We start from the raw sequence: 14,045 nt of genomic DNA, 5'->3' as shown, positions 1-14,045 counted from the left end.
CTTTCCATATTTAGTGCTTCCTTCAGAAGGAAGACCTTCAAGGCAGGTCTGGTGGTTATGAATTCACTCAGCAATTGCTTGTCTGAAAAGGATTTTATTTCTTCTTTACTTATGAAGCTTAGTTTGGGCAGATACAACATTGTGGGTTGGGAATTCTTTTCTTTAAGAATGTTGAATACCGGCCCCTTATCTCTTCTGGCTTATAGGGTTTCTGCTGAGAAGTCTGCTGCTCGTATGAAGGGCTTCCCTTTGTAGGTGATCTTGCCTTTCTCTCTGGCTGCGCTTAACATTTTTTCCTTCATTTCGACCTTGGAGAATCTAATGATTACATGCTTGGCGTTGATCTTCTCATGGAGTACCTCACTGGGGTTATCTGGATTTCCTGAATTTGAATGTTGGCCTCTCTTGATAGGCTGGTGAAGTTCTCTTGGATGATATCCTGAAGAATGTTTTCCAACTTGGTTCCATTCTCCCTGTCTCTTTCAGGTACCCCAATCAGTCATAGTTTTGGTCTTTTTACCTAATCCCATAGTCCTCGGAGGTTTTGTTCATTCCTTTTCATTCTTTTTTTCTCTAATCTTGTCTTATTTCAGCAAGATAGTCTTCAATCTCTGAAATTCTTTCCTCCACTTTGTCTATTCAGCTATTGATACTTGTGGCTGTATTGCGAAGTTCTCGTGTTGTGTTTTTCAGCTCCATCAGGTCATTTGTGTTCCTTGCTAACCTGGTTATTCCAATTAACAGTTCCTGTAATGTTTTATCATAGTTCTTAGCTTCTTTGCATTGGGTTAGAACACGCTCCTTTAGCTCAGTGAAGTTGGTTATTACTCATCTTCTGAAGCCTACTTCTGTCATTTCATTCATCTCAGCCTCAGCCCAGTTCTGTGCCCTTGCTGGAGAGGTGTTGTGATCATTTGGAGGAGAAGAGGCACTTTGGTTTTTTGAGTTTTCAGAGTTTTTTTGTTGGTTCTTTTTCATCTTTGTGAGTTCACCTAGTTTCAATCTTTGAGGCTACTGACCTTTGGATGGGGGTTTTGTGGGGACTTTGTCGATGCTGTTGTTGTTGTTGCTTTCTGCTTGTTTTACTTTTAAAAGTCTGGCCCCTCTTCCATAGGGCTGCTGTGGTTTGCTGGAAACCTACCCCAGACCCTGTTCACCTGGGTCCTTCCCACACCTGGAGGTGTCACCAGTGGAGGCTGCAGAACAGCAAAGCTGACAGCCTGCTCCTTCCTCGGGCAACTCTGTTCCAGTGGGGCACCAACCTGATGCCAGTGGGAATGCTCCTGTGACTGGTGACTGGTGACCCCCTTTGGGAGGTCTCACCCAGTCAGAAGGCGTGGGATCAGGGACCTGCTTAACAAAGCACTCTGTCTGCACCTTGGCAGAGGGGTGTGTTGTAATGGGGGAAATCCCACTTGTTCAAACTGCCCAGACTCCTCAGAGCGAGCAAGGGAAAAGACTAAGTCACCTGATCCACAAATACTGCAGACTCCTCTCCCCCCCAGGGCTCCATCCCAGGGAGATCAGAGTTCTATCCATAATCCCCTGGCTGGAGTTGCTGAAATTCCCACATGAAGCCCCTGCCTGGTGAGGAGGTATGGGTCCAGGTCTGGCCTAGTAAGGCAGTCTGGTCACAGTGTACCACAGCTGCTGTACTGTGCTGTGGGGAATTCCTCCTGGGTACAAACCACCCAGTCTCCCCTGCACTGGCAGGGGAAAATGGCAGACTGGAGTTGCAGTGGTGGCTGCCGCCCCTCCCGCAAGGAGCTCAGTCCTCTTAGGCAATAGGCAGCTGAAGTGATGGCAGCCACCACTTTCCCAGGAACTTGGTAGTCTTAGTCTCCAGCTGAGTGGCTGCCAAGAATCTGCACAGCTCTATGCATGGGACCCAAGGCCCTGGTGGCGTGTGCTCATGAAGGGATCTCCTGATCCATGGGTTGCGCAGATCTGTGGAAAAAGTGTGGTTTCCTGGGCGGGGTAGCACAGTCACTCACTGCCTCCCTTGGCTGGGGGTGGGAGCTCTCCTTGTCCTGTGCAGCTACTGGATAGGCTGTCAGTCCACCCCACTTTTCCTCACTCTCTGTGGGTTGCACCAACCAACTACTCAGCCCCAATGAGAGAACCTGGATACCTTAGTTGCTGGTGCGGGATTCACCTGCTGTTTTCATTCTTCTTGGTGGGAGCCTCTGACTGCAGCTGTTTCTAGTTGGTTATATTGGCCCCTCCACCCAAAGTAGCTGATTTTAATTCTTACAGCAGAAAAAGCAAGTGAACAGCATTGCTAAGGCTTTCAGCTTAGGGAGTGTCCTTGTCTTTTACTGTTGGGATTTACTCCAAAATTTCTACCCAGGATGGAGGAAGGAAGTCACCTTGCTTTTGGGGATTGAGAAGGCTACCCTCAAATGGAGATAAGTGAGAAACAATAAAGGCAAAGGCCAAGTGGCTTGCTGAGTTTCCACTTTCTCGTTCTCTTCATCATGAGCACCAAATCTGGAAGGCTGCATGAGCATACGTGAAAAAATTCATTGGTTAAAGTGAAATAAAATGTAGAGAACAATTAATCTGACATGGATTTAATAGTAGATGGTTCTTATATGGTTGTTCTATCAGCAGGTGCATACATTAAGCCATTGACAGAAATGAACATAATTGGAATTGCTTTTAGATAGTTGTTCAAGTATCTCTGATGACAATTTATAAAAACCCAAACTACCTTGGTTTGCCGCATGTTATGGTACACTCAGGCTAGTATAACAACCACCTAGCCAGTGTTTTTGCCTTCATTCTTCTCATCGTCCATGGTACCTAAATTATAATGCTCTTCTATTCAAAGACTGTAAATGGCTTCCTTTTGCCTTCTAAAATCTAACACTAGCTGATGTTCCCTGCTTGATCTTTTGCTACTCTCCTATTGGCACCCTTTCCTTTAGCCACATGGACAGGTTATTATCTTCTGAGCATATTTTTATGCCAAATTTTGCATGATGTTTCTATCCCTCTACCTACATTGCCAAACTGCATATTTAAAATTTTACCTCAATGAGTGGAAAGAATACAAGGCCAGATGACAATACATCTGGATACTAGTTGTATTGTCAATGTATTGTCAATAACAATTATATTGTTAATGGCACTGCCATTAACTTTCCATGTGACTATAAGAAAGCTAATTCATTTCTCTGAGACTCACCTTTCTAGGTCTCTAAGGTTGTTTCTAACTTGAAATTAAAAAGAGAAAATCATAGGGTATAAAAAATAATGCTACCTGTTTTCAAGGTCCAGTTCAAGTACCATTGTAACCCACAGCTCATGGCTTACAAAGTTATGAGCTTCCATAATGCTTCTTTTCTGAGCCAGTGTGTGTGTATGTATAAGATTACAAGATAGCTGCTTTAGCTCTAGTCTCATCCCCTCTGCCAAAGGGGGAAAAAGAGTAAAGTCTTAAGTCTCAATTTCCTCTGATTGTACCAACCATTGAATCAACAACTGTGGCTAAGGAATGTAATATACTGCTTCAGTTAGGCCCGGATCACATGTTCCACCCCCTAAGGCTAGGTGTGAACTGAAGTTGGGAAGGGGAAGACAAGGATCATTGCCAAAAGAAGGGGGAAACAGATTCTGGGGAGGCGAATGTCCACAACACTGTCTCATTGAATTTTTTCCATACTGCATTGTATAGTGGTTATTTGTATACTTGCCTTATAATCCCATTCATTCATCCAACGCGTATTTTTAAGCAACTATTATGTGCCAAGCATAGTGTTAACTGTTGCAGATTCAATGGTGAACAAGACTCAGTGCCCATCCTTATAGTATTTGCATCATAGTGGGGAAGACAAACATACAAATAGAGTAAACAAATAAAATGACTGTTAAGTTATAATAAGTATTTGAAGAAAACAAACAGGATGTTGAAAAAAATAATGGAGAAGAACTACTTTATGTAGAATGCTTAGGGAAGATTTGTCTGAGCTAGTGATAATAAAGGGGGGCCATTTAGGGAAAGATTTGAAAGTAAGGGTATTCCAGGTAAAAGAAAAAGAAAATGCAAAGGCACCAAGGAAGGAAGAAGCTTAGTGTATTCAGTGAACAGAAAGAACATGGGAGTGTCTAGTTCATAGTGAGAAGGGTAGTCTAGAATGAGTTGAGAGAGGCAGGCCAGATAATGTAGAGCCTTAGTGACCATGTAATTTCTACTTGTCTTTAAACTTCTTAAGAGAGAAATGATGTCTTATTTATTTTTACAACTTGCAGCCCTTATCTGTGTGTGTGTAGGGGGTGCATTCAAAATAAGACTGTGTATTTCTTATCATAATATCCTTGAACAAATAAGAAAAGCTTCCAGTAATTAATCCTGCCTATTGTCTGGAAGAAATCTACTTTCCACTCTACTTTTCTATCATGGCCTCAATTCTCTTGGGTTTTCCAAAAGTCTCCCTTGTAAGGACATTCTATCTCTTGTGGATTTTGTTTTGTTCTTGGGCTGGTGTTAAGATCTTTAAACATAAAGTCTTTGATAAAGACAAAGTATCATTGGCCTTTTGATATGAAGTGGCCATTGACTTAATCACACAAGAAAGAATGTAGTAATCTTCTAAAAATACTAAGAAATGCATTTAAGGCAGAAAATAAAACTCATGAGTAGGGTTGGGTGGCCTTGGGAAAACAGGTTTGAATAATTTCCCACGAGGTTGAGTAGCCAGGGTGGCAGGAGTCCCTCAGTGGCAGTCCCTCAGAAAAGTACACTAAGTGCAGGTAAGACTGCACAGATTATTTAGAAAGGCATAATTTCTCCCTACACAGGGAAGTTCAGCTATGATTAGGACACAGGGAAACAGGCAAGACAGTTAGCTATCATGGATCTTGGTTGATACCTGTGTGGAATTAGAAAATTATATTCCATAGTTTCTCAGGCATAGTCGTATCTTACACTAATTTCTATACAGTTTCAGCTTTCATTCTGTTTTGTATCTCTGGCTGGGGCTATTTTCTAAGCCCTGTTTATTGGAAAACACTAAATTTTCCCTTCACCTGGAAATTAGATGCTGCCACATTTCTCCATGTTGTCATTTATACCTAGGTAGTTCTAAAAAGAAGCTCTTGTTTTAAAATTCAGGAGTCCCTCCAACTTACAAAGGCCTTCATTGAATTGCAGTCTGTTAGCTGCGCTCCCAAAATAGGAATTCAAAAATGTGGTATTTGTGGTTTACAGGTTCGTAGGTGAGGGGGAAACGGAGAAAGAAAGGAGGTAAGAGGGGGTTTGTGGAAGAAGAGGCTCCATTCTTGCCCCTTCTGTTACCTGCATTTCCCCGAGAAGAGACTATAAAGCAAATGATGAGGTAGGAGTGGAGTTTCCTTCTAATAAGAAAATCGAATGCTCATTGAGTGTCTATTGTGGGGTCTTCTTCTGGAAAGGGAGAGGGGATTTCAATCAGCAGAGGAAAACTTTACATATTGAGAGAAAAAAGTGGTGATTTAAAGTGGTTAATGAAGTTAAGTAAAAAGTGACACATCAGGGTCATTTCCAAGATGGCCTAATAGGAACAGCTCCAGTCTGCAGCTCCCAGCAAGATTGATGCAGAAGATAGGTGATTTCTGCATTTCCAACTGAGGTACCTGGTTCATCTCACTGGGACTGGTTGGACAGTGCATGCAGCCCACGGAGGGAGAACTGAAGCAGAGTGGGGCATCACCTCATCTGGGAAACACAAGGGGTCAGGGGATTTTCCTTTCCTAGCCAAGGGAAGCCATGACAGACTGTACCTGGAGGGACAGTACATTCTCGCCCAAATACTGCACTTTGCCCACAGTATTAGCAACTGGCAGACCAGGGGATTCCCTCCCGTGCCTGGCTCGGGGGGTCCCACGCCCATAGAGCCTTGCTCACTGCTAGCACAGCAGTCTGAGATCGACCTGTGAGGCTACAGCCTGGCAGGGGGAGGAGTGTCCACCATTGCTGAGGCTTGAGTAGGCAAACAAAGCAGCTGGGAAGCTCAAACTGGGCAGAGCCCACCGCAGCTCAGCAAGGTCTACTGCCTCTCTAGACTGCACCTCTGTAGGGAGGGCATAGATGAAAAAAAGGCAGCAGACAACTTCTGCAGACTTAAACGTCCCTGTCTGACAGCTCTGAAGATAGCAGTGGTTCTCCCAGCACGGTGTTCAAGCTCTGAGAAGGGACAGACTGCCTCCTCAAGTGGGTCCCTGACCCCCGTGTAGCCTGACTGGGAGACACCTCCCAGCAGGGGCTGACAGACACCTCATACAGGCGGGTGCCTCTCTGGGATGAAGTTTCCAGAGGAATGATCAGGCAGCAATATTTGCTGTTCTGCAATATTTGCTGTTCTGCAGCCTCTGCTGGTGAAATCCAGGCAAACAGAGTCTGGAGTGGACCTCCAGCAAACTCCAACAGACCTGCAGCTGAGGGGCCTGACTGTTAGAAGGAAAACTAACAAACAAAGGAATACCATCAACATCAACAAAAAAGGACATCCAAAAAAATAAAAAATAAAAAAAAAAAAAAAAAAAGGACATCCACACCAAAGCCCCATCTGTAGATCACCAACATCAAAGACCAAAGGTAGATAAAACCACTAAGATGGGGAGAAACCAGAGCAGAAAAGCTGAAAATTCCAAAAACCAGAGCCCCTCTTCTCCTCCAAAGTATCACAGCTCCTCGCCAGCAAGGGAACAAAACTGCATGGAGAATGAGTTTGACGAGTTGACAGAAGTAAGCTTCAGAAGGTCGGTAATAACAAAATTCTCCGAGCTAAAGGAGCGTGTTCTAACCCATTGCAAAGAAGGTATAAACCTTGAAAAAATATTAGACGAATGGCTAACTAGAATAAAAAGTGTAGAGAAGACCTCAAGTGACCTCATGGAGCTGAAAACCACAGCATGAGGACTTCATGATGCATATACAAGCTTCAGTAGCTGATTCGATCAAGTGGAAGAAAGGATATCAGTGATGGAAGATCAAATGAATGAAATAAAGTGAGAAGACAAGATTAGATAAAAAAGAGTGAAAAGAAATGAAAAAAGCCCCAAGAAATATGGGACAAAGTGAAAAGACCAAATCTACATTTGATTGGTGTACCTGAAAGTGACGGGGAGAATGGAACCAAGTTAGAAAACGCTTTTCAGGATATTATCTAGGAGAACTTCCCCAACCTAACAAGGCAGGCCAACATTCAAATTCAGGAAATACAGAGAACACCACAAAGATACTCTTCGAGAAGAGCAACCCCAAGACACATAATTTTCAGATTCACCAAGGTTGAAATGAAGGAAAAAATGTTAAGGGCAGCCAGAGACAAAGGTCGGGTTACCCACAAAGGGAAGCCCATCAGACTAACAGTGGATCCCTTGGCAGACACTCTACAAGCCAGAAGAGACTGGGGGCCAGTATTCAACATTCTTAAAGAAAAGAATATTCAACCCAGAATTTCATATCCAGCCAAACTAAGCTTCATAAGTGACGGAGAAATAAAATCCTTTACAGACAAGCAAATGCTGAGAGACTTTGTCACCATCAGGCCTGCCTTACAAGAGCTCCTGAAGGAAGCACTAAACATGGAAAGGAACAAGTGGTACCAAAAACTGCAAAAACATGTCAAACTGTAAAGACCATTGACACTATGAAGAAACTGCATCAATTAACAGGCAAAATAAACAGCTAACATCATAATGACAGGATTAAATTCACATATAACAATATTAACCTTAAATGTAAATGGGCTAAATGCCCCAATTAAAAGACACAGACTGGCAAATTGGATAAAGAGTCAAGAACCATCAGTGTGCTATATTCAGGAGACTCATCTCATGTGCAGAGACACACGTAGGCTCAAAATAAGGGGATGGAGGAAGATCTACCAAGCAAATGGAAAGCAAAAAACAAAAAAAACAAAAAAAAAAAAAAAAAAAAAAAAGCAAGGATTGCAATTCTAGTCTCTGATAAAACAGACTTTAAACCAACAAAGATCAAAAGAGACAAAGAAGGCCATTACATAATGTTAAAGAGATCAATTCAACAAGAAGAGCTAACTGTCCTAAATATATATGCACCCAATACAGGAGCACCCAGATTCATAAAGCAAGTCCTTAGAGACCTACAAAGAGACTTAGACTCCCACACAATAATACTGGGAGAATTTAACACCCAACTGTCAATATTAGACAGATCAATGAGACAGAAGGTTAACAAGGATATCCAGGACTTGAACTCAGCTCTGCACCAAGCAGACCTAATAGACATCTACAGAACTCTCCAACCCAAATCAACAGAATATACATTCTTCTCAGCACGACTTCGCACTTTTTCTAAAATTGACCACATAATTGGAAGTAAAACACTCCTCAGCAAATGTAAAAGAACAGAAATCACAACAAACTGTCTCTCAGACCACAGTGCAATCAAATTAGAACTCAGGATTAAGAAACTCACTCAAAACTGCACAACTACATGGAAACTAAACAAACTATTCCTGAATGACTACTGGATAAATAAGGAAATGAAGGCAGAAATAAAGATGTTCTTTGAAACCAATGAGGACAAAGACACAACATACCCGGATCTCTGGGACACATTTAAAGCAGTGTGTAGAAAGAAATTTATAGCACTAAATCCCCACAAGAGAAAGCAAGAAAGATCTAAAATCAACCCCTAACATAAAAATTAATTGAACTAGAGGAGCAAGAGGAAAGAGCAAGACTAATAAAGAAGAAAAGAGAGAAGAATCAAATAGACGCAATAAAGAATGATCAAGGGGATATCACCACCAATCCCACAGAAATAAAAACTACCATCAGAGAATACTATAAACACCTCTATGCAAATAAACTAGAAAATCTAGAAGAAATGGACAAATTCCTGGACGCATACACCCTCCCAAGACTAAACAAGGAAGAAGTTCAGTCTCTGAATAGACCAATAATAGGTCCTGAAATTGAGGCAATAATTAATAGTCTACCAACCAAAACAAGACCAGGAGCAGATGGATTCACAGTCGAATTCTACCAGAGGTACAAAGAAGAGCTGTTACTATTCCTTCTGAAACTATTCCAATTAATAGAAGAGGGCATCCCCCCTAACTCATTTTATGACGCCAGCATCATCGTGATGCCAAAGCCTGGCAGAGACACAATAAAAAAAGTGAATTTTACACCAATATCCCTCATGAACATCAATGCAAAAATCCTCAATAAAATAATGGCAAACTGAATCCAGCAGCACATCAAAAACTTAGCCACCACGATGAAGTTGGCTTCATCCCTGGGATGCAAGGCTGGTTCAACATACGCAAATAAATAAACGTAATCCATCACATAAACACAACCAAAGACAAAAACCACATGATTATCTCAATAGATGCAGAAAAGGTCTTGGACAAAACTCTTGAGAATTTATTGAAAACTCTCCATAAACTAGGTATTGATGGAACATATCTCAAAATAATAAGAGCTGTTTATGACAAACCCACAGCCAATATCATACTGAATGGGCAAAACCTGAAAGCATTCTCTTTGAAAATCGGCACAAGGCAAGGATGTTCTCTCTCACCACTACTATTCAACATAGTGTTGGAAGTTCTGGCCAGGGCAATCAGGCAAGTGAAATAAATAAAGGGTATTCAATTAAGAAAAGAGGAAGTCAAATTGTCCCTGTTTGCAGATGACATGATTGTATATTTAGAAAGCCCTGTTGTCTCAGCCCAAAATCTCCTTAAGCTGATGAGCAACTTCAGCAAAGTCTCAGGATACAAAATCAATGTGCAAAAATCAAAAGCATTCCTATACACCAGTAACAGTCAAACAGAGAGCCAAATCATGAGTAAACTCCCATTAATAATTGCTACAAAGGGAATAAAATACCTAGGAATCCAACTTACAAGGGATGTGAAGGACCTCTTCAAGGAGAACTACAAACCGCTGCTCAGTGAAATAAAAAAGGGCACAAACAAATTGAAGAACATTCCATGCTCATGGATAGGAAGAATCAATATCGTGAAAATGGCCATAGTGCCCAAGGTAATTTTAGATTCAATGTCATCCCCATCGAGCTACCAATGACTTTCTTCACAGAGCTGAAAAAAAACTACTTTAAAGTTCATATGGAACCAAAAAAGAGCTCACATAGCCAAGACAATCCTAAGCAAAAAGAACAAAGCTAGAGGCATCACAGTACCTGATTTCAAACTATGCTACAAGGCTACAGTAACCAAAACATCATGGTACTGGTACCAAAACAGATATATAGACCAGTGGAACTGAACAGAGGCCTCAGAAATAACACCACACATCTACAACCATCTGATCTTTGGCAAGCCTGACAAAAACAAGAAATGGCAAAAGGATTCCCTATTTAAGAAATGGTGCTGGGAAAACTGGCTAGCCATATGTAGAAAGCTGAAACTGGATCCCTTCCTTACACGTTATACAAAAATTAACTCAAGAAGGATTAATGACTTAAATGTTAGACCTAAAACCATAAAAACCCTAGAAGAAAACCTAGGCATCACCATTCAGGACATAGACATGGGCAAAGACTTAATGACTAAAACAACAAAAGCAATGGCAACGAAAGCCAAAATAGACAAATGCGATCTAATTAAACTAAAGGGCTTCTGCACAGCAAAAGAAACTATCATCAGAGTGAACAGGCAACCTACAGAATGGGAGAAAATTTTTGCAATCTACCCTTCTGACAAAGGGCTAATATCCAGAATCTACAAAGAACTTCAACAAATTTACAAGAAAAAATCAAACAACTCCATCAAAAAGTAGGCAAAGGATATGAACAGACACTTCTCAAAAGAAGACATTTATGCAGCCAACAGACACATGAAGAAATGCTCATCATTACTGGTCATCAGAGAAGTGCAAATCCAAACGACAATGAGATACCATCTCACACCAGTTAGAATGGCAATCATTAAAAAGTTAGGAAACAACAGATACTGGAGAGGCTGCAGAGAAATAGGAACGCTTTTACACTGTTGGTGGGAGTGTGAATTAGTTCAGCCATTGTGGAAGACAGTGTGGCGATTCCTCAAGGATCTAGAATTAGAAATACCATTTGACCCAGAGATCCCATTACTGGGTATATACCCAAAGGATTATAAATCATGCTTCCATAAAGACACATGCACATGTATGTTTATTGTGGCACTATTCACAATAACAAAGACTTGGAACCAACCCAAATGTCCATCAATGATAGACTGGATTAAGAAAATGTGGCACATATACACCATGGAATACTATGCAGCCATAAAAAGGATGAATTTATGTCCTATGCAGGGACATGGATGAAGCTGGAAACCATCATTCTCAGCAAACTATCACAAGGACAGAAAACCAAACACCGCATGTTCTCACTCATCAGTGGGAGTTGAACAATGAGAACACATGGACACAGGTTGGGGAACATCACACACTGGGGCCTGTTTGGGGGTTGGGGGCTGGGGGAGGGATAGTATTGGGAGAAATTCCTGATGTAAATGACGGGTTGATGGGTGCAGGACACCAACATGGCACATGTATACCTATGTAACAAACCTGCACATTGTGCACATGTTCGCTAGAACTTAAAGTATAATATAAAAATCCAAAAAAAAGTGACGCATCATTTGATTCTATTTGGAACATTCCTGTTTGTGGTGAATGCTTGATAAAGCAGACTCTCAACAGGTGAGTCTGAAGCTACTATTCACCATATGCCCACATTTACCATGCACTCATTCAGCTAGATGTGGGGAATACACTGTAATATTTCAAAAGGATTGCCAGCATCATGGGTCTCTATATCAAATTCACCTCTAAGGGATTCTGCCACCTGAAGTGAGGTGGATATGGCTGTACCCAAAACTCTGGAAATAAGAGCTCTCCCAAGATTTCTGGTGTATCTGTGGGGGTAGGAATGGTGACAGCAAAAGAAATGACCACGGCCTTATCTAGCCACAGGAGTATGGCAGCTGAGCTGCTTTACTTGATTCATTAACTCTACATTCATTGATCATCTACTGTATGCCAAGTACTGGCCTAGGTGCTAGGATAAAAGAGATAAATAAGACATTGCAGGACTTGTATATGCACTTGGGAGAGACGGTCACGTAAACACATCATTGCAATGTGATGTATCAAAAGTTCAAGGTACAATGACAATAGGAATGAGGGGAAAAGCCACAAAGATAAGAGTCTTCAGAAAAATTAACTGACAAAGTGTGGTGATGATTCATCCCTGTGACTAAAGAAAGGAGTCGAGTTCTGTTTTATTCACCATTGTACCTCTAGCACCTTTTGGAAATGTAGCTGGATAGAGGACTACTCCTCTTCCTTTTTTCCTGTTATCCGTTTATCATTCAGCTTGCCTATTCTGTGCCAAACACTATGCAAGGTATTAGTGATATAAAATTATATAAGATACTGTTGCTTCCCTTGAAGAGCTCACAGTATAATGAAAGAGGAAAATGAGTGAACAAATAAATATTTAGATGTATCATTGATGCAATATTGTGGATGATGGATTAAGGAGTAACCCTGGAGATTATTGCAACAGATGAAAAATATTAATGTCCTAAACTGAGGCAGCAATACTGAGGATAAGTACAAGGAAAGGATAAACAAGGTATTTAGAACATAGATTTGGAAAAATGTAGCAAATAATTGGAGTGGTGGTAGGGGATGGTGAAAGGAAAAAAATAAAAATTGAAGTTGAATAAATCTTACATTTATAGCTTTGGTGACTGGATGCTACTATTAATACAGAGATAAAGAATTCAAAAATAAAAACAGATTTGGAACAAGAGTTAAGATCAGATATTAAGGCTTTGATTACAGAGTTGTTGAGTTTGATGTTTTTGTAGGATACCTCGGCACAGATGCCAACCAACTTTCAGATATTTGAGTCTGATGCTCAGGAAAAACATTAAAATCAGGGATAAAGATTCAGGAATCTTTAGCTTACTTATAATAGTTACAGTTGGAGGAGTGGATGAGATAACCCAAGAAGATTATGTAGCATGAGAAAAAAACCTGAGAAAAAACCAAAATATAAATATTGAGAAAAAGAAAAAAACTCCACATGCAATCCACTTTACAAAATGCTCTTTCCCTTTGAAAGAAGAGATAGAATAGTATTTAATGGGAGCCAGTGACTCTCTGTTTAACTTGGAATTCAGCATGCTATGTGCGTGTGGTTCATGGCATAGTCTACACCCCGTTTCTTCAGCCCTACCTCATAGGTCAGCCATGGTTGACACTGATTCCCAGTATGTGTGAATATTGTGAGGGGATTCTTTGAAACCAGGGACAAGTCGTGAGCAGTTTTCTGATGAAGGTTTTTTCCTGACATAGAAGTTATTTTCCCCTGGAAAAGAGATCCCAAAAGGAGATGATGGAAAAAGGAAACCATGATTATGATGGAAGAGGGATAGGGGTAGGTGAGAGTTTCAACCACAATCACTTGGCGTGCAGATCAAATGGCCTTGTGGTCAGGAACAAAACTGGAGCTTTCTTCTCATATGGGTTAGGATGTAGGCCTCGTGTGTGTGTGTGTGTGTCTTTGTGTGTGTGTGTGTGTATTCCTTCATGTTTGCGGCACATTCACAAATCCTATTATCTCCTTCTTAATACCAGTGGTGGATCTTGCCCATTCTTTATGGAAGGATTGACAGCCTAGCAGCCATCTGATGTCTGGATAAAAATATTTTAATAATTGAAAAGCTGGGTTACACAGGTTTTAGTTGCCATGTAAAGAATCAGAAATGATAGAATCACTTCATGCATTACCATCCTCTCTCTGAATAACTGATATTGCTTTAGCAAACTTGGAATTTACCTAAGTCAATTTTTTTCATTGGACTTTTAGTAGAACATAAAAACATGGTTGTGTTCACATTTTATTCTTCATCAGAAAGTATATAAGTTAAGACAAATTGTCTGAATGCAGTTGTTTTAATGTATTAAGGTATAACTTATACACAATAAAATGCACAACCACTTAGTGTTCAATTACATGAGTTTTGAAAATTATGTACACCCAAGCC

Source organism: Homo sapiens, chromosome X, assembly GCF_000001405.40.
Source record: "Homo sapiens chromosome X, GRCh38.p14 Primary Assembly".
Taxonomy (NCBI): Eukaryota; Metazoa; Chordata; class Mammalia; order Primates; family Hominidae; genus Homo; species Homo sapiens.
Note: the sequence above shows the minus strand (reverse complement) of the source record.